This window comes from Homo sapiens, chromosome 4 (genome assembly GCF_000001405.40).
Source record: "Homo sapiens chromosome 4, GRCh38.p14 Primary Assembly".
NCBI classification, from domain to species: Eukaryota; Metazoa; Chordata; class Mammalia; order Primates; family Hominidae; genus Homo; species Homo sapiens.
This window is the reverse complement of record NC_000004.12, coordinates 154,638,515-154,665,754: the sequence shown is the minus strand read 5'-3', so window position 1 is coordinate 154,665,754 and position 27,240 is coordinate 154,638,515. Positions and strand designations below refer to the sequence as shown.

Sequence of the window (27,240 nt, the reverse complement as noted above, 5' to 3'; positions counted from 1 at the left end):
CTAGACTGGACGTTCGGTCTTTTTGCTTCACATACACACCTTTAAAAAATACTTTCAGCTGTTCTCATTTCCTTTTCCATTGCTTTGGGGCTCTCCTATCATGCAGACTGCAGTTGCTCTGAAACCATCATGGTAACAAGCATTCGCCTGAACCATTTTTGAGTCAAAACTAACTTTAATAAACAATTTAAAATTGTCAAAGCTTACAAATATAAACAATGAGATTACATAGGAATAACATGCCCTAGAATGGATCATACTACTGTACATGAGAAGCTTTTTTAAATAAACAAAAACTATTCTAAATATATAAATCAATAATTATGTTTTCTTAAATAATGAAATAATAATGATATTTACAGAGATAAAATAGAGATTTGAAAAAACTGTGGGAGATTATAATAGAAACATAATTTCATTGTAGAAAATTAGAAAAATACAATTAAAAACTGTTTTAATCCTATGTGGCTTTATTTTTTAATAAAGGCATATATAGAGAATACATCTATAGCAAAATTTCAAGTAACTCATGGCTCTAAAAGTGTAACTGCAAACTTTAGCATAAATGTTATTGATACTGGTTAAAATTATATGCAGAAAATTTGAAAGGCTGGCACAATGCAAACTGACAAAAGCCCAAAACAAAAACCAAAAGTAAATTGAGACTTAAAGTTCATTATAAGAAATGTGTTCTTTAAAAACTATTTTTGAGTCCCACTGAATTTAATAAACAATTGAAAATATTCACTAGTGGCCGGGTGCAGTGGCTCATGCCTGTAATCTTAGCACTTTGGGAGGCCGAGGCAGGCGGATCATGAAGTCAGGAGATCAAAACCATCCTGGCCAACACGGCGAAACCCCGTCTCTACTTAAAATACAAAACATTAGCTGGGCATGGTGGCAGGCGCCTGTAGTCCCAGTTACTCAGGAGGCTGAGGCAGGAGAACCAGGAAGGCAGAGGTTGCCGTGAGCCGAGATCATGCCACTGCACTCCAGTCTGGCAAAAGAGCGAGACTCTGTCTCAAGGGGAAAAAAAAAAAAAATTCACTAGCTAAATACTACATAACTAATTACAGCTGCCTTTGAGTGTTATTTCTGAATTCAGACAAATATTCTGTGGCTTCAAATTTCACTGCTGTTTAAGTGATTGGAAAATCACGCTTTTTGTTCTACTTGGGCAGAGAATTTGGAAACAGTGTATTGGAAGCAATCTAATGTCTAACAAGAGTAGGATGGTTACATACACTTTGATATATGTGTTCAATGAAATGCTATGAAGCGCTTTTGAAATAATGTTAAAGAGTATGTAATCATGAAGAAATACTCCTAATGTTAAAATTTTTTAAAAGATGCAAAAATGGTACACAATATGATCCAAATATTATGTGTATTTATGTTCACGTGACTGCCAGCCTTTTTTGTTTATGCTAGTTTAAGCTTCTGTCACTTGAAATAAAAAAGTCCCAATTAACATATTTTTAGATTATTAATAGAAAATTAATAAAATTTTATTTTAACTTTCTATTAGTCAGCTTTTTTAGCTGACACTTTACTATTTGAAACAATATTGCTTTGTAGCTTTCAAAAGCCTGTGTTAAAGTAAAAGGACAAAAGAAAAAATTTCATTACACTGTTAAAAAATGCTTAAATTTGATGTTTTCTGCCATTTGCATATCATGTCTAAAAAATACATCATCTTGAGTATCATGCAGATATGTTCCTGTATTAACATTTCAAAATCCAAACTAAACTTCCCTTCTATGATGCTTTATAATTGTAGTACCAAAGTATACACCTGGAGTTTAAGATAAACAATGAAAACCTCAAATTTAAGAAAACTGCCATCTTGGAAGAGTAAGTAACTATATATATATATATATATACCAATTAATATTAATCAATGTCATGAAACCAAAGATAGTCTGTGGACTTATCCCCCAACTAAGGTTTCTCCCTACTTTCTATGGGAAATTAATATTTTACCCCTAACTAAGTCTCCCCATGTATTGTACATAGGGAAATTAGTGTGCTCCTCCCTCAACTCTTAACAGGTAACGAAATAAAACAGGAGAGAAGATCTTATTAACAAAAGACTGAGCTAGGTACAATAGTGCATGCCTGTAGTCCCAACTACTTGGGCAGCTAAGGCCAGAGCCTAGGAGTTCAAGTCCAACCTGCACAACAAAGAGAGATCACATCTCTAGGAAAAAAAAAAATAAGGAAGAAGGAATAGACCTCTTTGCTCTTTGAGCTTACACTTCCCTACCTTCCAAAGCTAAACATTGGAGAGAAAAACAGCATCACTTATTTTAACATAAAATCTGTTCCTACTTTTAATGAAAAAATTATTTTTAAAAATAAATGAAAAAATGCAAAAATTAAAGAATGAAGGATATTAGAAAGTCCCTTAAAAGGAATAATAACTTATTTTGACTTCTTATACATTTAAATTACATCACTGACAAGTTCACAGCAGGTCTTTTTTTTTTTATTATTATACTTTAAGTTTTAGGGTACATGTGCACAACGTGCAGGTTTGTTACATATGTATACATGTGCCATGTTGGTGTGCTGCACCCATTAACTGGTCATTTACTTTCGGTATTTCTCCTAATGCTATCCCTCCCCGCTCCCCCCATGCCACAACAGGCCCAGGTGTGTGATGTTCCCCTTCCTGTGTCCATGTGTTCTCATTGTTCAATTCCCACCTATGAGTGACAACATGCAGTGTTTGGTTTTTTGTCCTTGCGATAGTTTGCTGAGAATGATGGTTTCCAGCTTCATCCATGTCCCTACAAAGGACATGAACTCATCCTTTTTTATGGCTGCATAGTATTCCATGGTGTATATGTGCCACATTTTCTTAATCCAGTCTATCATTGTTGGACATTTGGGTTGGTTCCAAGTCTTTGCTATTGTGAATAGTGCCTCAATAAACATACGCGTGCATGTGTCTTTATAGCAGCATGATTTATAATCCTTTGGGTATAGACCCAGTAATGGGATGGCTGGACAAATGGTATTTCTAGTTCTAGATCCCTGAGGAATTGCCACACTGACTCCCACAATGGTTGAACTAGTTTACGGTCCCACCAACAGTGTAAAAGTGTTCCTATTTCTCCACATCCTCTCCAGCACCTGTTGTTTCCTGACTTTTTAATGATCGCCATTCTAATTGGTGTGAGATGGTATCTCACTGTGGTTTTGATTTGCATTTCTCTGACGGCCAGTGATGATGAGCATTTTTTCATGTGTCTGTTGGCTGCATAAATGTCTTCTTTTGAAAGTGTCTGTTCATATCCTTCACCCACTTGTTGATGGGGTTGTTTTTTTCTTGTAAATTTGTTTGAGTTCATTGTAGATTCTGGATATTAGCCCTTTGTCAGATGAGTAGATTGCAAAAATTTTCTCCCATTCTGTAGGTTGCCTGTTCACTCTGATGGTAGTTTCTTTTGCTGTGTAGAAGCTCTTCAGTTTAATTAGATCCCATTTGTCATTTTTGGCTTTTGTTGCCATTGCTTTTGGTGTTTTAGACATGAAGTCCTTGCCCATGCCTATGTCCTGAATGGTATTGCCTAGGTTTTCTTCTAGGGTTTTTATGGTTTCAGGTCTAACATTTAAGTCTTTAATCCATCTTGAATTAATTTTGTATAAGGTGTAAGGAAGGGATCCAGTTTCTGCTTTCTACATATGGCTAGCCAGTTTTCCCAGCACTATTTATTAAATAGGGAATCCTTTCCCCGTTGCTTGTTTTTGTCAGGTTTGTCAAAGATCAGATAGTTGTAGATATGCGTTATTTCTGAGGGCTCTGTTCTGTTCCATTGGTCTATATCTCTGTTTTGGTACCAGTACCATGCTGTTTTGGTTACTGTAGCCTTGCAGTATAGTTTGAAGTCAGGTAGCGTGATGCCTCCAGCTTTGTTCTTTTGGCTTAGGATTGACTTGGCAATGCAGGCTCTTTTTTGGTTCCATATGAACTTTAAAGTAGTTTTTTCCAGTTCTGTGAAGTAAGTCATTGGTAGCTTGATGGGGATGACACTGAATCTATAAATTACCTTCTGAGCACATCCTTGTACAATGGAAAGATATTTATCTGCCTGACCAATGATACTGTCATTACTAAGTCAAATGTCAAAAAAGCTGGACTAATGATAGCTTAACATAGTTCACATTCTGATCTTATAAATGCAGTTATGTGCCATTTCACACATCTATGTCCATTAAATATAATCTCTCTCAACTAAATAAATCTAAAACACTGCTTAGAATGAATAAATTATGATCTGAAAATAAAGTGGGTGTTAAAAAGAATTGATTCTAAGGAAAGAGATGCATCTCAGAAGATAAATAGTATATACGACTGCATTTTTTTGGTAAATGTAATAGATGTATAGTTTTTTTGTCAAGAGAAGCAGAAATCTTAGCTACTATCTTCAAACCACTGAGAGCTTTCTGAAATAATTTATTCAATCTAAGTTATTTAAAGATATTTTGGAATAAAGAAACTCTTTAAATTCTCTAAATAAAGATTATAAAAGTATTAGAGTTTTATCACACTTTGATCTTTAGCAGTTATTTGATCAAACAAAATATTTTGTTTCTGGGAGCATGAAATTGTTCAAGGAGCAAGGGTTTGAGAGTCTAAGAGAACTAAAGTTGAATACTAGTTAGCTGTGTTTTCTTGGGCAAGTTACTCAAACTTTGTCTCCCTTCTCTATAAAATGAGCATGATTTTGTCTTCTGTAAAATGAACTTACATTGGAAGAAAGTTGTCAGGATTAAGTAACTCTAAGGAGCCTATCTCACACCATAGCAATAATAGTAGACTAGTTAGTGCTCAGTTAATTCTCTTCTTTTCCCAAGTGACCTTTCAGAAACCACATACATTTTGACCTGAATTCCTAGCTGAAAACTATTTAAAGTCAAAGACATTATAGCTGATTCATATTCTAAAATCTGAAATGAACTTTTAAAACCCCCTAGTATTTAAATGATTAGAAACAATATTATTTCAATTGATTCAATAAAGTTCTCTTAGAATTTGTTGTATTTTATGACCCAATTAGTTTTGTCTTTCTTTTTTTTTGAGATAGAGTCTCACTCTGTCACTCAGGCTGGAGTGCAGTGGTGCGATCTTGGCTCACTGCAACCTCTGCCCCACCAGCTTCAAGCAGTTCTCCTGCCTCAGCCTCCCCAGTAGCTGTGACGACAGGTGCCTGCCACCGCGCCTGGCTAATTTTTGTATTTTTAGTAGAGACAGGGTTTCACCATCTTGGCCAGGCTGGTCTTGAACTCCTCACCTCATGATTCACCCGCCTCGGCCTCCCAAAGTTAATTTTGTCTTTAAATATATACACAAGAGCTGGTTTAAAATCAAGGTGTCAGTCAAACACAAATATAACTGAAACTCTCTGTTCAGGCATATAATGTAACTAAACAGCCTGCAGTGCAACAAAGCCAGCAAAGTAAACACTGCCAAGAGATAACTGGCCTTGTTCCCTCTGTTGAGCATGTCAAAGTCCTGCTTCTGAAAATATTTGAAAAATCTGCCTATTTTCCATCTGCTGTATTTCTCAGAGGATAACTGAAAGTTCATGTGTAAGTTCACTGCAAGTTCAAATGTGTCATATCAGGTCATTTACAGGGTAAAAGTTCACTGGGAGTTTATTATTCGTTTTTAAAGACTGCAGTGGAGAAAGAATAAATATACTAATTGAAGCTATTTTATATTATGACCACTGCATTTTTAAACATCATAAATAAAAATTACAAGTTTTAAAAGGCCATGTGCTATGCATAATTACAATTAAAAGGACCCTACAGAAGATGATAAAGATACTATTCCTTGGGACTATCCTTAGTGAAAAAATTATAGATAAGTCTTGGTTGTTCTAGATATTATTTAAAGTAAAACAGTTGTCATATTTTACATTTTGTATTGCATATTTTATTTAAACCACACATTTAAATGCAGAAATATAGAGACATAGAAAAAAGAGGAAACATCAGAAATAATAAGTGGATATCATCTTACTATTTAGCTGAATAGAGATGATTTTTAATTCGCAGTTGCTAAGAATGCTATTTAAGGTACAATATTTGTGGGATGTTTATAGTAGAAGTAGGCAGCCAGGAGAAATATGTCTTATTTGGAATAAATCACTGAATCATTAAGAAAAAACCTAAACCACACAGCATTCGTCAATATGATTTGAATCACTGAGGCAAAATTAAGATTTTTCTTTTGGATAAAACCATAATATTTTTTAAGATTTAGAAGAATATTTTTCAAGGAAAATAATAGTGAACACATATATACATTTAGGGGATAATTTCTGGCTTCAAAGATTAAAAATATTTTCTTTCTATAAAGTACTGGTACATCACAGTGGGTATTTGAAAGCTGAGGCTAAGTCCTGCCAGCTTGGGTTCATAACAATCTTCCTTTTACTGCAAGCAGTAAGAAGAGAGTGGGGATCAATCTGACCGCCAATGCAGTAAGCCCTGGAATCAGTCTGAAGTCACCATGGACCAGAGGAATTTTGTCACCGATAGAGAGTCATGACTGCAAGTTGGCCAGGTTCCTGGCGTTTTGAACAAAGAATTGAACAAAACTCCCAGCAAAGCAAAGAAAGAATGAAGCAACAAAAGAAGGAACACAGGGATTTATTGAAAAACGAAAGTACACTCCATAGCGTGGGAGCCAACCTGAGCAGCAGCTCAAGTGCCCGGATACAGAATCTTCTTGGGTTCAAATACCCCCTACAAATTTCCCATTGGCCACTTCATGCTCACTTCACGTACATGAAGCGGTAGCTAGCAGTCAGTCTGATTGGTTGCAGAAAGCAGCCAATCAGAGGCTGAAGTGAAGTTACAAAGGTCACACTCCTGCGCAAGCATCTGATTGGTTGCGCCAAGCAACCAATCAGATGCTAGGGTGAAGTTACAAAGTTATACTTCTATGCAAATGAAGACTCGGCAGGCAACCAGTCTGATTGGTTGTGGACAGCAGCCATTCAGAGGCTGGAGTGAAGTTACAAAGTTGCAAATGAAGACTCCACCAGCAATCAGTCTGATTTGCTGTGGACAGCCAATTTCCCATCTGCCAGTGCAGAAAAGGTGGGGGGTTTACAAAGTGAGTAGCCGCTGGTCCTTTTGTTATTTAGGCTTGGAAAGTTAGGGTTTTCCTTTAAATTAGTTATAGGAAGTCAGCGTGAAACGGCCTTAGGTTCTCAGCCTCCAGACTCTATTCTCCTGCCTCAATTTGACTGGGCAGGAACCAATCATGCATAGCGCTTGCCAGGCCTCCCAGCTCATGCAGTCCTATTCCTCTGACTTCTTTCCCTTGAATCCCTGCTCCATCCAGCTAGGATTCTCATCACAAGGAGCCAGACGCCGTTTCCGCACCTTTAGAAAAACATTAACTGAATTTCTATACGAAATACATCCATTCCTCTCAGTATGATTTCTTTATCTTTGGCTCCCAGGCATCATCTGAATTTAGTCCTTATCACACACTGATAAGTCATCATGTGATTTTAAGAGGTGTAATATTAAATATAGAAACTGAATATGTAAAATACACAGTTTGGATAATTGTTATTCATCAAATGTATCATTTGGTATAATGTAGCCACTTTTCCTCGGATTCTCCTCCTGGCTGCTCTGAACCATAGTTTTCCCTGTTTTTCACCTATGCACAATATATGATTTCCCATACTGGAAAGCTTTCCGATGGACAGTTCCTCATACCCAAGCCCCCCTGCTTGGGGGGGATTGTCTTCTTTGGTACAGTGGCTGAACAGCTATCGTATGAAGTTGGTGATCCTCAGCAGATGTAACTTGTGACTCTTCCCAAGTGTCTCCTACTGAAATTCCAGGTCAGTGAATAATATGGTTTTGTTCTTAAACGTTACATCTACACACACACACACACACACACGCACGCACACACTCCAGTCTTTATCATACAAAACTGCAATTGTTTCCAACTTCATACCATCCTTTCTAAGCAAAGTGTGGAAGTAAGTTGACAATTCTGTGATATTATCCATGGCACATATCTCTAAAATGTATTGAAGAACAATAAAACAAGATCTATAAAAATGGAAAAACAAACCATTTTCTTAGATGGAAAGACATTATAATAAAATGTCAGTTCTACCAAGTTAATTATATACTCAAAACAAATCCAGTTAGAATTTCCTCCTTTGGATAAGATAATCTTAAGGCTCATGTGAAAGAACAAATGCCAAACAATAGCAAAAAATATATATATTTTTTGAGATGGAGTTTCGCTCTTGTTGCCCAGGCTGGAGTGCAATGGCGCGATCTCAGCTCACCACAACCTCCGCCTCCCAAGTTCAAGTGATTCTCCTGCCTCAGCCTCCCAGGTAGCTGGGATTACAGGCATGCACCACTACGTCTGGCTAATTTTTTTTGTATTTTTAGTAGAGATGCAGTTTCTCCATGTTGGTCAGGCTGGTCTTGAACTCCCGACATCAGGTGATCCACCCACCTCGGCCTCCCACAGTGCTGGGATTACAGGCGCAAGCCACCATGCCCAGCCACAAAAAAAATATTTTTTAAGAAAAGGGGATGAGGAAGGACTTGGCTTATCAGATAGGAGAATATTTTACTTTTATTTTTATTTTTTTTGTTGTATTTTTAGTAGAGACGGGGTTTCACCATGTTAGCCAGGATGGTCTCCATCTCCTGACCTCGTGATCCGCCCGCCTCTGCCCCGCAAAGTGCTGGGATTACAGGTGTGAACCACCGCGCCCGGCCTAGAACATTTTATTATACACCAATATGTTAATATGTGTATATGCATTCACATCCGTATATGATTATCTGAGGGTAAATACAAAGTATAAAAGAATACATGTTTGGTCTATAGCATGATTACATAGGCAGAAGCGATGCCAATAAGCAGGAGAGAGGAGCAGTGGGAAAAGAGGAGGCAAACAAAAAATAATAAGAGAACTACATTAAAGAAAGAAGATGGAATATGACCAGATTTATTCATTTATGAAAAATATTTTATATGGGTATATAGATAAAGAAATTAATTCTTTAAATGTTAAGAAGGAAAGGAGACAAAGTCGGAGAAAGGTGGAAAGGTGAGAACATGGTTGAGAAATGACTGGAGATGCAGGCTGGGCAGGCACTATAGCACAGCCTACTAGCTGTCTTCCTTAACTCTCTTATCACAGCTGCCCCTCTTAGAACTTATGTGCTTCCTCCCACTACCTCTGAATCAGATGGACAAGAACTTACTGAAACCCAACCCTAGACTTCCCAATACACTCAACTTTCCCCTTGTCCTTCCCTTCCCTTGATTCCTTGATTCTCCCCTTGTGGTCCTCTACATTCCCAAGCCACCTCATCCACTTCCATGGCTTCAACTATCAATGCTCACCCAATCTCAAATAAATCTTGATGTCTTTTCCTCACATTCCCCCAAGCTACTCTCAATTTCTTATATGTCCCACAGTTATAAGAAACTAAATGAAATACTGCTGCCCACTGCATTACTACTATTATTGCTACCATTAAAACCACCACCATCACTGCTACCACTGCTTTACTACCAATAGTATTGCCATTATTTCTATTTCTACTGGGTGCCATTTATTTAGTGTTTACTATATGTCAGGCACTGGACTCAGTCCTTACCAATGGCAGCTCATTTATTTTCCTCTTTAAACAACCCTGTGAGTAGGTGTTATCCTAATTTTATGCTTGAGGAACTCAAAAAGCTCAGGACTACGTCAACACAATTAAGATGGGCAACATATGTTCAGATGCAGTCAAAGCACATGTCTGTTCTTGTGTTAATATAGTATCAGTTTGATTCATTTACAGATATCTGATGAACATCTAAGTGCAAAACAGTAAAATAGAGGTGAACATTTTACTGAAAACTTACTACATATCTTTGGCACTGTCCTAAGTGCTTTACATTTATTATTTGATTCACACCACCTTCCCATTCTACAACCTAACTAGCACAGATTATCCTTATTCTACAGATCGGTGAATTGAGGCAAATAGAAGTTAAGTAGCTTGACCCATCTCACAGAGCTTATAAGTGGTAGAACTAGGATTCCAGGTAATGTCTGTAGAATTTATGGTTTTTAATTGCTATTTTGGGTGAGACAATGCTATTATGATAAATTCCTAGATATGCAAAGATCCATCTTTTCAAAGAGTTTACAATCTGGTTGAATAGATAAGACTATCACTACTTCAGAGTTGGAAAGCCCTGGCACTAGAAACAAGAGACAGGGAAACCAATTAAAAGACTATTATAGTCGCCTGCAGAATCTAGATGAGGAAACTGGCAAGTGTGAGTGAATATGAAAGAAACAAAATGAGAAATATTATGGATTGAAACACTGATCTCATCTGGTGATTGATGAGATAAAGCAGACCATAGAAGAGAACCAAGATTGCCTGAGTCTGAATTAGTGGCCGACTGACCATGTCACTGTCAGAAATGGACATGTCTTCAACAGGGGTGGATGATTTTGAGGTAAGAATAAAATTATAAATAAAGTCAAATCTATTCAGATCTTTCTAGTGGGGTTGTGATTCAGAAGCTCCGGTGAGACGCCAGGTCAGTAGGTATAAAGTGTGGGAGCCACCTGCTCTCCACACTGAGACCGCAGATGCTCCCCCTGAGGGAGACAATGCAGAGCCCTAACAGCAAAGGGCCTCAGCCACATTTCCCATCAGTGCTCTGACACTCGTGTTTTCACTGCTTCCTGCCAGTCTGGTGCCACATGACAGCCAAGGAGGAGGAAAAAGAAATGATAGAGAGAAGAGTGAGCAGTGCCTGTCTGGCTACAGACAAGGCTCACAGAGTAAAAGTGGAGACAAGACTGGAAAGATCTACTGTCTAGACTGACAGCGGTTTGGAATGTCATCTAAAGTCTCCTGTTTTCCACTAAAGCAGAGGCCTGTGTATTGTAAGCTTCATATTGGTAAATGAAGCCGACTTTGCTGGTGCATATTGCAGGAGCTTCTGAGAGCAAGGAGCTTCTAGGACCAAGGGCCTTCTGCTACTTCTAACAACGAAGACTTGGATGGAATAGGGTGAGAGAAAAAGTAAATCATGAGCATGTCCTGGCATTTAAGGTCTCAGTATATTCAGTGTATTCAGTCCTTAAAGGGAGAGGTTCTATTTCTATTTCAGGTACTATATTACTTTCCTAGGGCAGCCATAAAAAAGTACCAAAAACTGGGTGACTTAAAACAACAGGAATTTATAGGCTCACAGTTCTGGAGGCTAGAAATTCAAAATCAAGGTATCAGCAGGCAGGGCCATGCTCTCTCTGACAGTTCTAGGGGAGAATCCTTCCTTGCCCCTTCCCAGCTTCTGGTGTTTGCCACCAATCGCTGGTGTTCCGTGGTTTTAAATGCATCACTCTCATCTTCTGTCTGTCCAAATATCCCCTTCTAATAAGGACACCATTCATATTGGATGACGGCTCTCCCTAATGACTTCATTTCAACTTGATTACCTCTTTAAAGACCCTATCTCCAAATAAGGTCATATTCTTAGGCACTGGGGGTTAGGACTTCAACATACTGTATCTTTTTGGGGGGACACAATTCAACCCATAACAGATATAATAATGGTTTAATAACAACAAACATTGATAATAAGTTAGACATCATAATATTATAATAGAAGTACAAAAATATTGCATATTATTTTGAGGAAGTATGATCTTTAAGATGCCTTAAAGAATTCTCCTATGGCCAGGGGCGGTGGCTCATGCCTATAATCCCAGCACTTTGAGAGTCCAAGGTGGGCATATCACGAGGTCAGAAGATCAAGATCATCCTGGCCAACATGGCAAAACCCCATCTCTACTAAAAATACAAACATTAGCTGGGTGTGGCGGTATGTGCCCGTAATCCCAGCTACACGGGAGGCTGAGGCAGGAGAATCGCTTGAACCAGAGAGTTGGAAGTTGCCGTGAGCCAGGACCACACCACTGCACTCCATCCAGCCTGGGCAACACAGGGAGACTCCATCTCAAAGAAAAAAAAAAAAAAGAATTCTCCTACAACTTAGTTCTGGATCCTAATAAGATAATAATGACTAGGATATAACATTTGCTTGTGTTTCACAATACAAAGATATTTTTAAATGGGCACTACTTAAATACAGTTTAATGAACAATAAAATTTATAAAATGTAGATACTATATGCCATGCTATAACCTTTATATATATATATATATATATATATATTCATTGCTTCCTGTCAGTCTGGCACCAAATGATAATCGGTGAATATTCCACCAGTACCCTGAGTACCACATTCAGTGAGATTGCCTGCAAGACTGCAAAGCAAATAAAAAACTAGCATTACTATAGCGAGAAAAATGTTTTAATACATGTTCAAATATAAAAAGAATATATTACAAATAAAACTTTATTTTTAAAGGTATTATAAAAGCGGGGAAAATGATTTGATTTTATATCAGTGTCATTTTGGTTTTGCTTATTTGTTTTAATAAAATAAGTTAATGACACAAAAAGGCTAGCTTGGAACCATAGAAAAAACACTCATCTAAGAATCATGGGAACCTAGACCAGGTGGTAAAGTTTGAGCAAAATGAGGTTAATGTCATACCCATGTGGCTATGAGAATTAATAGATAAAACTATGTGAAAGCACCATGGAAACTGCAAAGTGTTTCAAATGTGAGTTATAACCAGACCTGAAGTGTGACATCAAATTATCATTACATTACAGGAGAGAAAATTTGTAAAATATTACTCTCCTACTTGGTATGTTAATAAGCTAAAACTAACCAACAAATTCATTATAAAACACATTCTTAAAAATCTTAATAACTGGAAGTTCATTATAGAGTTGAGAATTTTGGTCAGCATGGCATAATAAAATACTTTGGGTTTTAGTTATCTGACCTGTTTAAATCCAGGCTCTACCATTTAACTTACTCTGTAACTTAGGGAAATTATATAACCCTATTAGATACCAGTTTCCTCATTTCTGAAATGAGGATAATGATATCTACCTAATAAATACATTATGAGAATAAAAAATAATTTTATGAAGTACCTGCCACAAAGTACACACACACTCAGTAAGTGATAGTTACTTTGTTTCAGAAAATTTCTTAAGTCTTTGCATAAGGCTTATGTATTCAGCTTTAATAATCTGCAGCATTAAAAACTATAAATATATTCAGTTTAAAATGTATTTGGCATGATCTCCAGATATATGTATTTTAATTTCAAAAAAATGATTTTAACTGTAATATAGTTAAAAGTGTAAAATTACTGCTACTATTATTATTAGACTTACCTTATAGCTGCTAATAAATCAAAATAATTACTTTTCCAACCAAACTATGAAAAAACACAAAAGTTAATTATTTTATTTACAATATATCTTTTGTATGTAGAATATTTCTTTATATAAATATGTATTTGACATAAAGTAATTCATTCCTTTCTTAATCTAAAGTACAATTTAGATTACTGCCTAAATTCAAATAGAAAATTATATGGCAAAACTAACAAAAACCTTTTCATGAACACTTGAAGTAGAAATTTCACTCCAGAAAAGATGGAGTCACATGGACCAAATTTATATTCCTGATTGAAATAACCAAGAAAACAGACAAAATATGTAAAAAAACAGTTTTCAAGATACTGGACATCAAGCAACAAAGAAAAGTGATCCCTGAGATATAAAACAAATGAAGTGTGTGTATGATTGAGTTTCCAGGTCATGCACCAGGAGGAGGAACTCAGATGGAGAATGGCAGATTCCCCGAGTTGAGGAACTAAGAGTCCAAGAAGAACATAAACCGATTACCAGGAAGTCCAGGGAGTTCACAGGATAGATTGCAGGAGAGAGACAGGCATCTGCTATACAGATAGACAACTCTGGAGATCTACAGAGGGTCCCTCCGAAGTATTCCGCAGAGAACTAGCAGTGCATGGGTATGAAGAAGTTACTTAAGTCTGACAGTAGTGCCTATTCTCACTAGCTAGACTGGAAAACCTCACAATTCATAGGAAAATAGGTAGAATGCTCAGAAGGCTTTGCCTCAAAAGTGGGGAATTTAGTCCTAGACTAAATGCTGCTCTGGTCCTACCTAACATATCTTAAAAGCATGACCAAAATGGACCAGTTTCAAAGTAATTTAATCACAATCCAGAACAAAGCTCAAGATATGAACATAACTTGCAACTAACAAGGTAAAATTCACAATGTCTGTCTTCCTAACCAAAATTAGCAGGTATGCAAAAAAGCAGGAAAATAGGCTCACACTGAGGGAAAAGAAATCCATCAATTAAAACAGACTCATATCTGACACAGATGTTAGAATTAGTAGACAAGGTCATTAAAACCATTACTATAACTGTATTTCCTAAGTTGAAAACATACCTATAAAACAGATCCTTCATGTCCCTTGTTAGCTGTATTCATAGGTATTTTATTCTCTTTGTAGCAATTGTGAATGGGAGTTCATTCATGATTTTGGCTCTCTGCTTGTCTATAGTTGGCGTATAGGAATGCCTGTATAGGAATTTTTGAAAATTCATTTTGTATCCTGAGACTTTGCTGAAGTTTCTTATCAGCTTAAAAAGCTTTTGGGCTGAGATGATGGGGTTTTCTAAATATAGGATCATGTCATCTGCAAACAGAGACAGTTTAACTTCCCCTCTTCCTATTTGAATATGCTTTATTTCTTTCTCTTACCTGATTGCCCTGGCCAGAACTTACACCTATGTTGAATAGAAGTGGCAAGAAAGGGCATCCTTGCCTTGTGCCAGTTTTCAAGGGGAATGCTTCCAGCTTTTGTTCATTCAGTATGATATTGGCTGTGGGTTTGTCACAGATGGCTCTTATTATCTTGAGGTATGTTCCATCAATACCTAGTTTATTGAGAGTTTTTAACATGAATGGATGTTGAAATTTTTCAAAGGCCTTTTCTGCGTCTATTGAGATATGGTTTTTGTCTTTAGTTCTATTTAGGTGATGAATCATGTTTATTGATTTGCATATGTTGAACCAGCCTTGCATCCCAGGGATGAAACTGACTTGATCGTGGTGGATAAGCTTTTTGATATGCTGCTGGATTCAGTTTGCCACTATTTTATTGAGGATTTTTGCATCGATGTTCATCAGGAATATTGTCCCAAAGTTTTCTTTTTTTGTTGATCTCTGCCAGGTTTTGGTATCAGGATGATGCTGGTTTCATAAAATGAGTTAGGGAGGAGTCCCTCCTTTTCAATTTCTTGGAATAGTTTCAGAAGAAATGGTACCAGCTCCTCTTTGTACCTCTGGTAGAATTCAGCTGTAAATCCATCTGGTGCTGAGCTTTTTTTTGGTTGGTAGACTATTACTGCCTCAATTTCAGAACTTGTTATAGGTCTATTCAGGGATTCAACTTCTTCCTGGTTCAATCTTGGGAGGGTGCATGTATCCAGGAATTTATCCATTTCTTCTGGATTTTCTAGTTTATCTGCACAGAGGTGTTTATAGTATTCTCTGACGGTTGTCTAGTTTTCAGGGGTCAGTAGTGATATCCTATTTATCAATTTTTATTGTGTCTAGTTGATTCTTTTCCCTTTTCTTCTTTATTAGTCCAGCTAGTGGTTTACTTTATTTTATTTTTTTCAAAAAACCAGCTCCTGGAATCACTGATTTTTTTTTGAAGGGTTTTTCATGTCTCTATCTCCTTCAGTTCAGCTCTGATCTTGGTTATTTCTTGTCTCCTGCTGTCTTTGGGGTTTGTTTGCTCTTGGTTCTCTAGTTTTTTTAGTTATGATGTTAGAATATCAATTTAAGATCTTTCTAGTTTTTTGTTGTGGGCACTTAGTGCTATAAATTTCCCTCTTAACACTGCGTTAGCTGCCTCCCAGAGATTCCGGTATGTTGTCTCTTTGTTCTCATTGGTTTCAAAGAACTTTTGATTTCTGCCTTAATTTCATTATTTACCCAGGAGTCATTCAGGAGCAGATTGTTCAATTTCCATGTAGTTGTGTGGTTCTGAGTGGGTTTCTTAATCTTGAGTTCTAATTTGTACTGTGGTCTGAGAGACTGTTATGATTTCAGGTCTTTTGCATTTGCTAAGGAGTGTTTTGCTTCCAATTATGTGACTGAGTTTACGGTAAGTGCCATGTGACAATGAGAAGAATGTATATTCTGTTGTTTTGGGGTGGAGAGTTCTGTAGATGTCTATCAGGTCCACTTGATCCAGTTAATTTTCTGTCTCATTGATTTGTCTAATATTGACAATGGAGTGTTAAAGTCTCCGACTATTATTGTGTGAGAGTCTGAGTCTCTTTGTAGATCTCTAAGAACTTGCTTTATGAATCTGGGTGCTCCTGTATTGGGTGCATATATACATAGAATAGTTAGTACTTCTTGTTGAATTGAATCCTTTACTATCATATAATGCCCTTGTCTTTTTTATCTCTGTTGGTTTAAAGTCTGTTTTGTCAGAAACTAGGATTGCAACTCCTGCTTTTTTCTCTTTTCTATTTGCTTGGTAAATTTTCCTCCATCCCTTATTTTGAGCCTATGTGTGTCTTTGCACAAAGATTGGTCCTTTGAATACAGCACAATGATGAGTCTTGACTCCTTATCTAGATTGCTATTCTGTGTCTTTTAATTGGGGCATTTAGCCCATTTACATTTAAGGTTAATATTGTTATGTGTGAATTTGATCCTGTCATCATGATGCTAGCTGGTTACTTTGCAGACTTGTTAACGTAGTTGTTTCATAGTGTCATTGGTCTTTGTACTTCAGTGTGTTTTTGTAGTGGCTGGTAATGGTTTTTCCTTTCCAAATTTAGTGCTTCCTTCAGGAGCTCTTGCCAGGCAGGCCTGGTGGTGATAAATTCCCTCAGCATTTGTTTGTCTGAAAAGGATTTTATTTCTGCTTTGCGTATAAAGCTTAGTTTGGCCAGATATGAAATTCTGGATTGGAAATTCTTTCCTTTAAGAATGTTGAATATTGGCCCCCAACCTCTTCTGGCTTGTAGGGTTTCTGCTGAGAGTTCTGCTGTTAGTCGGATGGGTTCCCCTTTGTAGGTGACCTGGCCTTTCTCTCTGGCTGCCCTTAACATTTTTTCCTTCATTTCAACATTAGAGAATCTGATGATTATGTGTCTTGGGGTTACTGTTCTCATGGAGTATCTTACTGGGGTTCTCTGGATTTCCTGAATTTGAATATTGGCCTGTCTTGTTAGGTTGGGGAAGTTCTCCAAGATGATATCCTGAAGTATGTTTTCCAACTTGATTTCATTCTCCCTGCCAACTTGGTTTCATTCTCCCCATCTCCTTCACATACCCCAATCATAGTTTGGTCTTTTTACATAATTCCATAGTTCTCAGAGGTTTTGTTTGTTCCTTGTCATTCTTTTTACTCTAGTCTTGTCTGACTGTCTTATTTCAGCAAGATAGCCTTCAAGCTTTGAAATTCTTTCCTCTGCTTGGTCTATTCAGCTAGTGATACTTGTGGTTGCATTGTGAAGTCCTTGAGTTGTATTTTTCAGCTCCATTTATGTTCCTCTCCAAACTGGTTATTCTGGTTAACAGTTCCTGTAATGTTTTATCATTATTCTTCGCTTCTTTGCATTGGGTTAGAACATGCTCCTTTAGCTCAGCAAACTTCATTATTACCCACCTCCTGAAGCCTACTTCTGCCAATTCATCCATCTCAGCCTCCTCCCAGTTCTGTGCCCTTGCTGGAGAGGTGTCATGATCATTCGGAGAAGAAGAGGCACTCTGGCTTTTTGAGTTTTCAGAGTCTTTTCATTGATTCTTTCTCATCTTCATGAGTTTATCTAGCTTTGATCTTTGAGGCTGCTGACCTTTGGATGGGGTTTTTGTGGGTACTATTTTTGACCCTGTTGTTTTTGTTGCTTTCTGTTTGTTTTTAACAGTCAAGTCCCTCTTACATAGGGCTACTGCAGTTTGCTGGGGGTCCACTCCAGACCCTATTCACCTTGGTCCTTCTCACACATGGAGGTGTCACCCAGGAAGGCTGGAGAATAGCAAAGATGGTTGCTGCTCCTTCCTCTGGGAGCTCTGTCCCAGAAGGGCACCAACCTGATGCCAGCAGGAACGCTCCTGTATAAAGTGTCCGGTGACCCTGTTGGAGGGTCTCACCCAGTCGGAGGGTCTCACCCAGTCAGGAGGCATGGGATGAGGGACCAACTTAATGAAGCACTCTGGCTGCCCCTTGGCAGAGGGGGTGCACTATACTGGGGGGAATCCCACTTGTCCATATTGCCTGGATTCCTCAGAGCCAGCAGGAAGAAAGACTAAGTCTGCTGATCTGCAGAGATCACAGCCACCCCTCCCCATAGGCACTCCATCCCAGAAAGATCAGAGTTCTGTCAGGAAACCCCTGGCTAGAGTTGCTGAAATTCCCACAAGCAGGCCCTACCCGTTGAGCAGGGATGGGTTAGGGTCTAGCCTAAAGAGGAAATCTGGCCACAGTCTGCCACAACCGCTGTGCTATGTTATGGAGAATTCCTCCTGGGTCCAAACTGCCCAGTCTCCCCAATTTTCTTAGGCATCAATGATGATGGTTTCCCCTCCCCCTGAGAACTGGGTAGCCTTAAACAGTCTCTAGCTGAGCAGCCATAGAGAATCTGCACAGCTCTGTGCTTGGGATCCAAAGCCCTGGTGGCATGGGCTCATAAGGGGATCTCCTGACCTGTGGTTCACACAGATCATTGGAATAAGTATGGTTTCCAAGGTGGGGTAGCAGAATCACTCACCGCCTCCCTTGGCTGGGGGTGGGAGCTTCCTTGCCCCATGTGGCTACCAGGTGGACAATTGCTCTACCCTCCGTTTTCTCACTCTCTGTGGGTCATGCCAACCACCTAGTCAGTCCCAGTGAGAGAACCTGGATACCTCAGTTGCCAGTGCAGGATTCACTCACCTTTTTCTTTCTCCTTGGTGGGAGTCTCCAGCTGCAGCTGCTTCTGGTCAGCCATCTTGGTCCCTCCCTCTCCCCCATCTTTTAACAAAACAAACATATGAACCTGAAATTTCAGTTAGACACTAGGTCAGAAAGTAAACCTAACTCTGTAAATTAGTTATTTCATCCTCATATGTCTATAAATTTGCACACATACATACACACTATGTTCAGTAATGTGAGTTCAGTTTTCAAAGAAGCAAATCACTTGTCAGGCTCTGTGGTTATAAAAACATATGTAATACTTGAGCATTATAAAAACCCTGCCTTGTGGTTATATTTTAATGTAATCTAATTTTTTAAATGTCAAATGAAACCTACTTTTCCAGTTATAACTCACTAAAAATAGATCAGAGAAGAAACTGCTCATTAACATGTCACAAATAAATAGAAATGTACTAGTGCCACCCTGAAAAACTTCACACCTGATAAATTAACCAAAAATTCAGTTTTTTAATTTGTAAATATTTTTCTGGATCCCTTATTATATAGGGACTTCTCTGCAAGAAAATTTGATGTCTTTTATGTTTAGGAGTCCCAAAAGTTGTGCATTTCACGTACTCTGTAAATGTTTAGTGAATGTGCTTATGATGCATTAATACTTAAATGCAAAGCTATCTTACAGAAATCATCAAGAATAGACACAAAAGTATAGCTGGATGTTTATTCACTGTAGCTTATTTAAAATAGCCAAAAAAAAAATGGAACCAACATATGTATCCAATAATAAGTCAGTTAGATCATTTGTACCATATACCGGTATAATATACTGTCATTAAATATGGTATTGTGAAAATTATTTAATGATATTTTTGAAAATACATTATTAAATAAAAATCAGATTATTACAAAATATGTATAGTATAATCTCATTCTTGTTTGAAATATATATGTTAAACTCCATTTTTATAATCTGTATTGTTGTGGTCTCCACAAGAAGACATGATAGACTCCCTTCACCCCTAAACACCTGAATTGGAGTCACATATAGAGACTGATGATAATGCTACATACACACCAAGAGGATATGCAGACATTTACTACTCGCATAATGAGGCTTTCTGGGGAGAGCGAGAAAGGCTCCCAAACAGATTCACAAATGATTTGAGAGAGTAGAAGAGAAGATCAGCTTAGACTTTATTGCAATGAAGAGATAAAGCTGGGGTGAAGGCTCCCACATGTTGGCCAAGGTTTGTGTGTTGTGTCCTTCTCATTGGAGCCAGAGGAAGAAGCAACAGGTCTTTTTTACTTGCTTGCCCAAATGTAGGGGAGCAGGGGAAGGGGGCGTGGTGGGGCTTGAAAGCTGCCAGCAGTCAAACATCAAAAACGGAGTCTGACTTTTTATTATACATATATAATAATGGATTATATATGAAATATATGTAAATAAGTCTAAATATAGATGGCTGAAAAGATACATACCAAAATATTGACTGTAGCTATGTGTAGTTGGATCATTATTGCATTTATTTTTTCTTTATTAACCAAATTTTTAAATGAACTTTTTGTTTTATAAAATAAAACAAACCATGAAAATTAGATTAAAACTCAGAAATTGAGAAAACAAGCCTTACCTGTTTTTATCAAAAACACTTAAAATCTTAAGAAAATAAAGATATCTAGTGCTGGTAAAGGAATGGTTAAACAAACAAAATAATACTTCTAGTGAGTAAGTATAAATTGGTACAAGCCTTCTGCAAAGTAATTTGGTAATACATTATAAGGACCTCAGAAATGTTAAATGTCCATAACCTTTAACACATTAATTTGATTTCCAGAACCAACCTAAGAAAATCATTGTATACACTGATAAACAAATATATTCACTTGTTCAACAAAGTTTCTTGAGAGCTTAGCATGTGCTCAGGCCGTGAGGATACAGCAGTGAACAACAGACAGCTCCTGTCTGCATGCAGCTTTTGGTACAGAAGGGCCATAGAGATACAACATTGAGTGTGCACTGGTTACATGCATGGGTCTAAACCCTGGTAGACCTGGGTTACCAGACTCCTCTATCTCTTAGGGCTTCCACACATGCTCGTATAAATGGTATGGTTCACAAACAACATTTGCGGCAGCCCTCCATGGATTCACTTCAGGATTATATGTGGTGCTTAATGGTGTTCAACACAGAAACCATTCCAAACGTTCTAAAGTCAGTTAATTCTCACCACAGCAGAAGTCATTTTCCTATGTCTTATAATTGTTATAAACATAATAATTAATGATAACATATTACTTAATAGACCAAACAGTTTGCTTAACTTTTTCCTTATTGTTAGACATTTTAACATAAGCAAGAAATGAATAATGAAACTCTTTACTTAAAAAAATGTATGCAGGTTTGTCTCATTTTAAACATGCTGCAAATAAAAATTCAGATGTATACAAATAACAAAGGGCAAATGACAAATGAATTTTCTTTAAAGTAGCTGCTCTTTTCCATACTATTTTATTGTAAAAATAGTTTCTTGTTATAAAAGTAGTACTTTGTCATAAAGAAAATGTGAAAATTTTAAAAAGGAGAGAAGGCCAGGCGCAGTGGGTCACACTTGTAATCCCAGCACCTTGGGTGGCCGAGGCAGGTGGATCATCTGAGTCAGAAGTTTGAGACCAGCCTGGCCAACATGGTGAAACGGTTTCTCTGCTAAAAGTACACAAAATTAGCTGGGTGTGGTGGCACATGCCTGTAATCCCAGCTACTTGGGAGGCAGGGGCAGGAGAATCTCTTGAACCCAGGAGGTGGAAGTTGCAGTGAGCCAAGATCATGCCACTGCACTCCAGCCTGGGTGACAGAATGAGACTCTGTCTCAAAAATAAAAATAAATAAATAAATAAATAAATAAGGAGAGAAGAAGAAATTACTCATAGCAGCCGGTATAAATTACTCATACCATCTTTTGTAAATTCTTTCCTGATTCTTCCCTATGCGTAGGATTTTGACATCTTTATGTTTTCAGCATATATTAAATCAGACTACTGGTATACTTTTATCATCATGCACTCATTATTTACCTGAAATTAAATAATATGCCTTTTGTATGTCTTACAACTGTTATAAACACAATAATTAATGATGACATATTACTCAATAGAGCAAAGAGTTTGCTTAGTCATTTCCTAACTGTTAGAGATTTTAAAGTGTGTATGGGTTTATGTCTCTTTAATACTACTTTATTAAATGTAATGAGACTGGCATGGTGTACAAGACTGAGACCTACTTTTCTCTAACCTTTTATATTCCCTCTATTATGAAATCTTGCCAGTTCTACCTCCTAAAAATTTCTTCAATCAATACACTACTCACAGTTCTTTCTCATGCCCAAGCCACTAGCTCTCAATTGCCTTTCATCAGTAAGCTCCTTATTTCCATCTCTTGTCTCTAAACCACCTTGTAGCCAGAACGATATATTTAGAGCTCACATCTGATCATATAACTTATCTGCTTTTACTTTTCTTTAGTTGTTTTTTATTTGTGTTCAAAGTAAAGTACAAAATCAGAACCATGACCTTCAAAGTCCTCTCCCCTCTTGCTCCCACCTGTCTCTCCAGGCACATCACCCTCCTTTCTCTGCATGTCACCATTCTGGACTTCTCAGTTCCTGCATCCCTCCAGCATATCCCTCCAGGGCTGAAAATGTGCAGTGTAGTCTTTTCTACTTGAAACCTTTTATTTTTTTCCAGAGCAAATTATATTCACCCTAAAGATCTCAATTTCAACATCACTTCTGCTGAAAGACCATCCTCATCCCCTTCAGAACATGTTAGGACCCCCAGTTATAAATTTTCTAAGCTCCCTGAACGTTTCCTTTTCATGCAGGAGAGGGAAGCCCCAACACTGGGGCTTCGCCCAGGAAAGAATTCAAGGGCAAGCCGGTGGTGTTAGACAGCAATCTTTTATTGAACAGTTGCAGAGCAGGGCTAACACATAGACAGTGTGCCCAGAGTCAGCAATGTACGGGCTCTTGTCAGCTGTATTTATATTCATGTAAATCCAATGTCAATTACATGCAAATTAAGGAGTGGGTCAATATAAATTGAGGAATGGGTAAATTAGAACTTTCTAGAAAGGGGCGGTAACTTCTGAGTCATTGCCATAGAAATGAGTGGTCACTTTCCAGTCACTGTCATGACACTGGTGGGAGTATCTTATGCCAATAAGCAATGAGGGCAGCTAGGGATGGCTTTTGTTGCCATCTTCTGGCTTCTGCTAGTTTTTCACTTTATCCTGTCTGGATCAGATCCTGTTTTGGTCAGCAGGATTGTGACCAGAAAACAAGTCCTGCCAGTCTCCTACCTCACTTTCATAACATTCATCAATTCTCTAGTAACAATAAGCATGTTGTTAGGGCCTTAGAAACACAATGAAAAGTGAAGCCTGGTGGTTTAAAGTGTAGGCTCTGGACCCTAGGCAACCCACCTGACTTTTCTATCCCCAAGTTTCTTCATCTTTCTTTTCTTTTTTTTTTAGCTCTCTACAAAAGGATGGAAATTGCTCCATCTTTAAAGTAGGACAATGACAGTTATCTGTTTCATAGGGTTGTTATAAACACATAGATATAACCTCTTCTTGTTCTTGCAAAGTGATTTACCATATTTGGAAGGTACCAGTAGTCTATGTCTAGTAAAGAATGATGCTCCCTAACAAGCCAAAGTTAAGAATAAACTATCAATATATTTCCTGAAAAGACATGAGGTTTGTAATCTTCTCTCTTATAATCATGAGGCATGTGTCCAGGGATTCCTGAAGCAGGCATGTTTTCCCAGGCTAAGTGCCAAAGCACTAGAGAGGGCCTTTTTATAAAGGGTGATCTCTGTATCACCTCAAAAAGGAGGGTGCATGGCTAGAGTTATGGAAAACAGGTAAAAGCCTGTGAAAATTTCTAAGCCACCATAGCATCAGCTGATGCTGCTTGGGTACAGCCATTCATAAAAACTGCATATCACCTTATCAAGCCATTATAGCTGCCGAGGACATTTTCTGCTACTCCACATTGACTGATTGCTGTGGATTGCCTGTCCACAGCAATCAAAGTCAAAAAGCAAGTTCCCTACCAAAAATTAAAGCTGAAACTTCTCCATCTTTAAATCACCAATGTGGAATTTTAAAGAGTGTTATTATTTTGACAAGTATATTTTATGTTGTCTTCAGTTACTATCACAACAGGAAATAGAATTTCGGCTATTAAATTCTACATTCCCAGGCAGGTTCCTACTTCTCCTCTCTGTTCAAGGTGTTTCTGTTTCCACATTTGCTTTTTATGAGCAAATTAAAATCTCTGAGGGGTATTTTCCTTTCCATAAGGCAAAAACGGGTCCATGTTGTAATTCCATTGGATAAGATTTAGCATTTTTGTCATCACATTGTGATCATTAAAGCAGAAGTCTGCCACATGCTAGCAAACACCATATTTAAAATAAACCAACAAGCAGTTATGGCAGTGAAATCACTCATCCAGTTACTACGTCGGTAGTGTAAAAACAAGAACCTCTTTTTCGAAGAAAGAGAAAGATAAACTCAAAATACACTATCTATACAGCAACAGAACAACTCTACAATGTTATCTCCAGAACAATTTTCACAAATCATAAATCTAAACCTTCTGCATAGACAGCACATTTAGCAGGCCCCTGTCAGGGAGGACAATGGCTTTAGAAAGATAAATAACTAGCAGAACTCTTGTGTCTACGTGCAAACAAATTAGTGTTTTGTGCACCTGACAGCTCATACCAATATTGCAAATATCCATGACCAGCAAGAACTGTGTTTGGATTTCACAGGTGGGATTTTCCACCTCTTGCATTTCACTGGGAGCTAAAGACGGTGCTAAAGAAACAGCTCCAAGGAAAAGTATGACACTTGCCTTCAACATTTAGCTTTTCAAACTGAAGTGTTAATAAAAGTATTTATTAACTTCATTTCCCTTTCTGTTGTGACACGTAGAATGTATCACTTGCAGCAAAATCCATCAGTTAGAACCAAATGATGGTAAGATGAGAAAGGTGGATAACAGATTGTGCTAAATAACTTTATGATTTATAAGAAGCACAATTTCAGCTTAACCTTCTGTGTGAATTAGAAATGTCCAGAGTTATTTTAAACATTGCTTTCAGTGAAACAATACATCTTGAATACCATCCACATAGGTGGTTTATAGACATAAATCATTAACCAGTAAAGGCAGCTGACACACCAGATTTTATAAAGTAACAAGAGACCTGAAAGGGATTTCTAGAGCTCAATCCTAAGATTTATCTATTAATTACACCAAATTAAATGATCATAATTGTATATTACATGGCAGGATGGCTTCTTGCTTAGAAGCATATAATATAAATGTCAATAACATCCCCCATGACATTATCTACAGTGATAACTGTTGTATTCAAATCCACACCGGCCTTCCTGGCCATCTTATGAAGGGCAGCAGCATACTTGGGGGCTCAGTACCCCTCTACTGCTAAGAGCTTACATGCCTGCCAGAAGAGAACCACCAAAGCAATCACTCTGATGGGAGCTCAGTCACCAGTTTACATTCAATAAACTGCTTTTTCTTCCCAATTTTTTTTCCTTTTGGAGGGAAAACACTAAAGGCAATGACATCCACATGTGTTTAAGTGGCTACAGCCACTTCTGGTGTTTATGATCATTAGATGCATGGCTAGTAAATGATATAAATAGTGATATAAAGGTTGTGTCCTAATGAAAATGTCTGTGGACTACTAAAGAAATGATTAACTTTAATTTTAAAAATTGCCTGGATTTTCTAAATAATCCCCTGGGGATGACTGATACAGTCAATTACATTTCAGAAAATCTAATCCTTAGAGTGGTCTCTGAGAGTGATTTGGGAGACAGGCCATATGGAATACAATAGAGAAACGAAAGTCAGAGATTAAAAATTCCTGATATTGTATACTAAGCAGGACTTTAATGATCACCTAATCCAGTAGTCCTTAACTTTTTAGGATGCATTATCACTTTGGGGGATCTGATCAAAACTATAGACCTTCTCCCTAGAGGGAAAACCCCCTTTTTTTTTAGCTTATAATTTCAGACATCTCAGAATCTCTGAAGCTCATCCTTGGACATCAATTTAAGAAACTTCATTTATAGATGAAGCAATTAAGGAGAGGAGAGACGAGTGATTCAACCAGGGTCATGCAGCTTGTTAGTGACAGAGGCAAGATGGAAACCCTGCTTTTCCTGCTCCTTGTCTGCTGTCATCTGCTGCATCAAGCTCTATATGGACTTAAATGTTCTACTAAACCACTTCTATCAACTGGCCAAAGAATGGTTACTAAGTGTCTATAATTAGAATTTATACCCACTAGTACTCTTTCTAATCAAATACAAAATCTTTTTCTCTGTGTGCATTCTCCTAAACCTATTCAGGTCCATGTGAACTCACTCTATCCTCCTAGCCTCCTCCCCCAGCACCACTACTTTCTTAAAACTCCCTCCTTCCAGGGTTCCTGTGATCATCCAGATTCTTCCCACTTCTTCCAGGGTTCACCTCCCTCCCCTCATGTGTGTGTGTGTTTTTAAGAGACAAAGTCTTGCTCTGTTACCCAGGCTGGAGTGCAGTGATGCAATCCTAGCTCAATGAAGCCTCAAACTCCTGGACTCAAGCGATCCTCCCGCCTCAGCCTCTCTAGCAGCTGGGACTATAGGCATGCACCATGGTTCCAGCTAAGTTTTGCATTTTTGGTAGAGAAGGTGTCTTGCTATGTTGCCCAGGCTAGTCTTGAACTCCTAGGCTCAAGCAATCAGCCTGCCTCCAACCCGCAAAGTGTTGGGATTACAGGCACGAGCCACCGCACCTGGTATCCTCTCCCATTTGTTATCTCCTTAGCTGCTACCATTTCTCCTCTCTCCAGGGGTTCCCTAAAGCTCAATCCTACTCTCCTTTATATCCATTCTCAACCTTCTTACTGTTACTTCTATTGAATAGAACTCCTGTGAAAATTGTCAGTACCCAAAACGGAGTCACTTATGTCAAACCCTAACAAAATGCAGTGGGAGGCCATGAAGGAAGGGCCCTCACACATGTGTGCCTGCACCAGGAACTGCCAGAAATGACTTCCTCAACTGGAAATTTCCAGTTAAGCCACTTCTATGAAAACTCTCTCCTACCAACAGCCAGTACCACCAATGAGCAAATGCCACTGCATGTAAAAAGACCTGTAGCCAGTGGTCTTTATTTCAAAACAGGTACATGGATATCTTTTTGCCTTTAAAA

At 37.9% G+C, this 27,240-nt stretch overlaps 1 long non-coding RNA gene across 10 annotated transcripts in view, besides 1 other annotated feature; it reads right to left on the bottom strand.

Moving 5' to 3' along the window:
• LOC124900169 (uncharacterized) overlaps nucleotides 1–27,240 on the bottom strand; it is a 109,752-nt gene that overhangs the window by 70,381 nt on the left and 12,131 nt on the right. The gene's annotated exons all lie outside the window — the stretch shown is intronic.
• Nucleotides 4,851–6,204: an enhancer, noted in NCBI's record as "VISTA enhancer hs1707". NCBI's record gives its function as "enhancer in: pancreas[5/14]" and the evidence as "EXISTENCE:transgenic organism evidence [ECO:0001131][PMID:17130149]".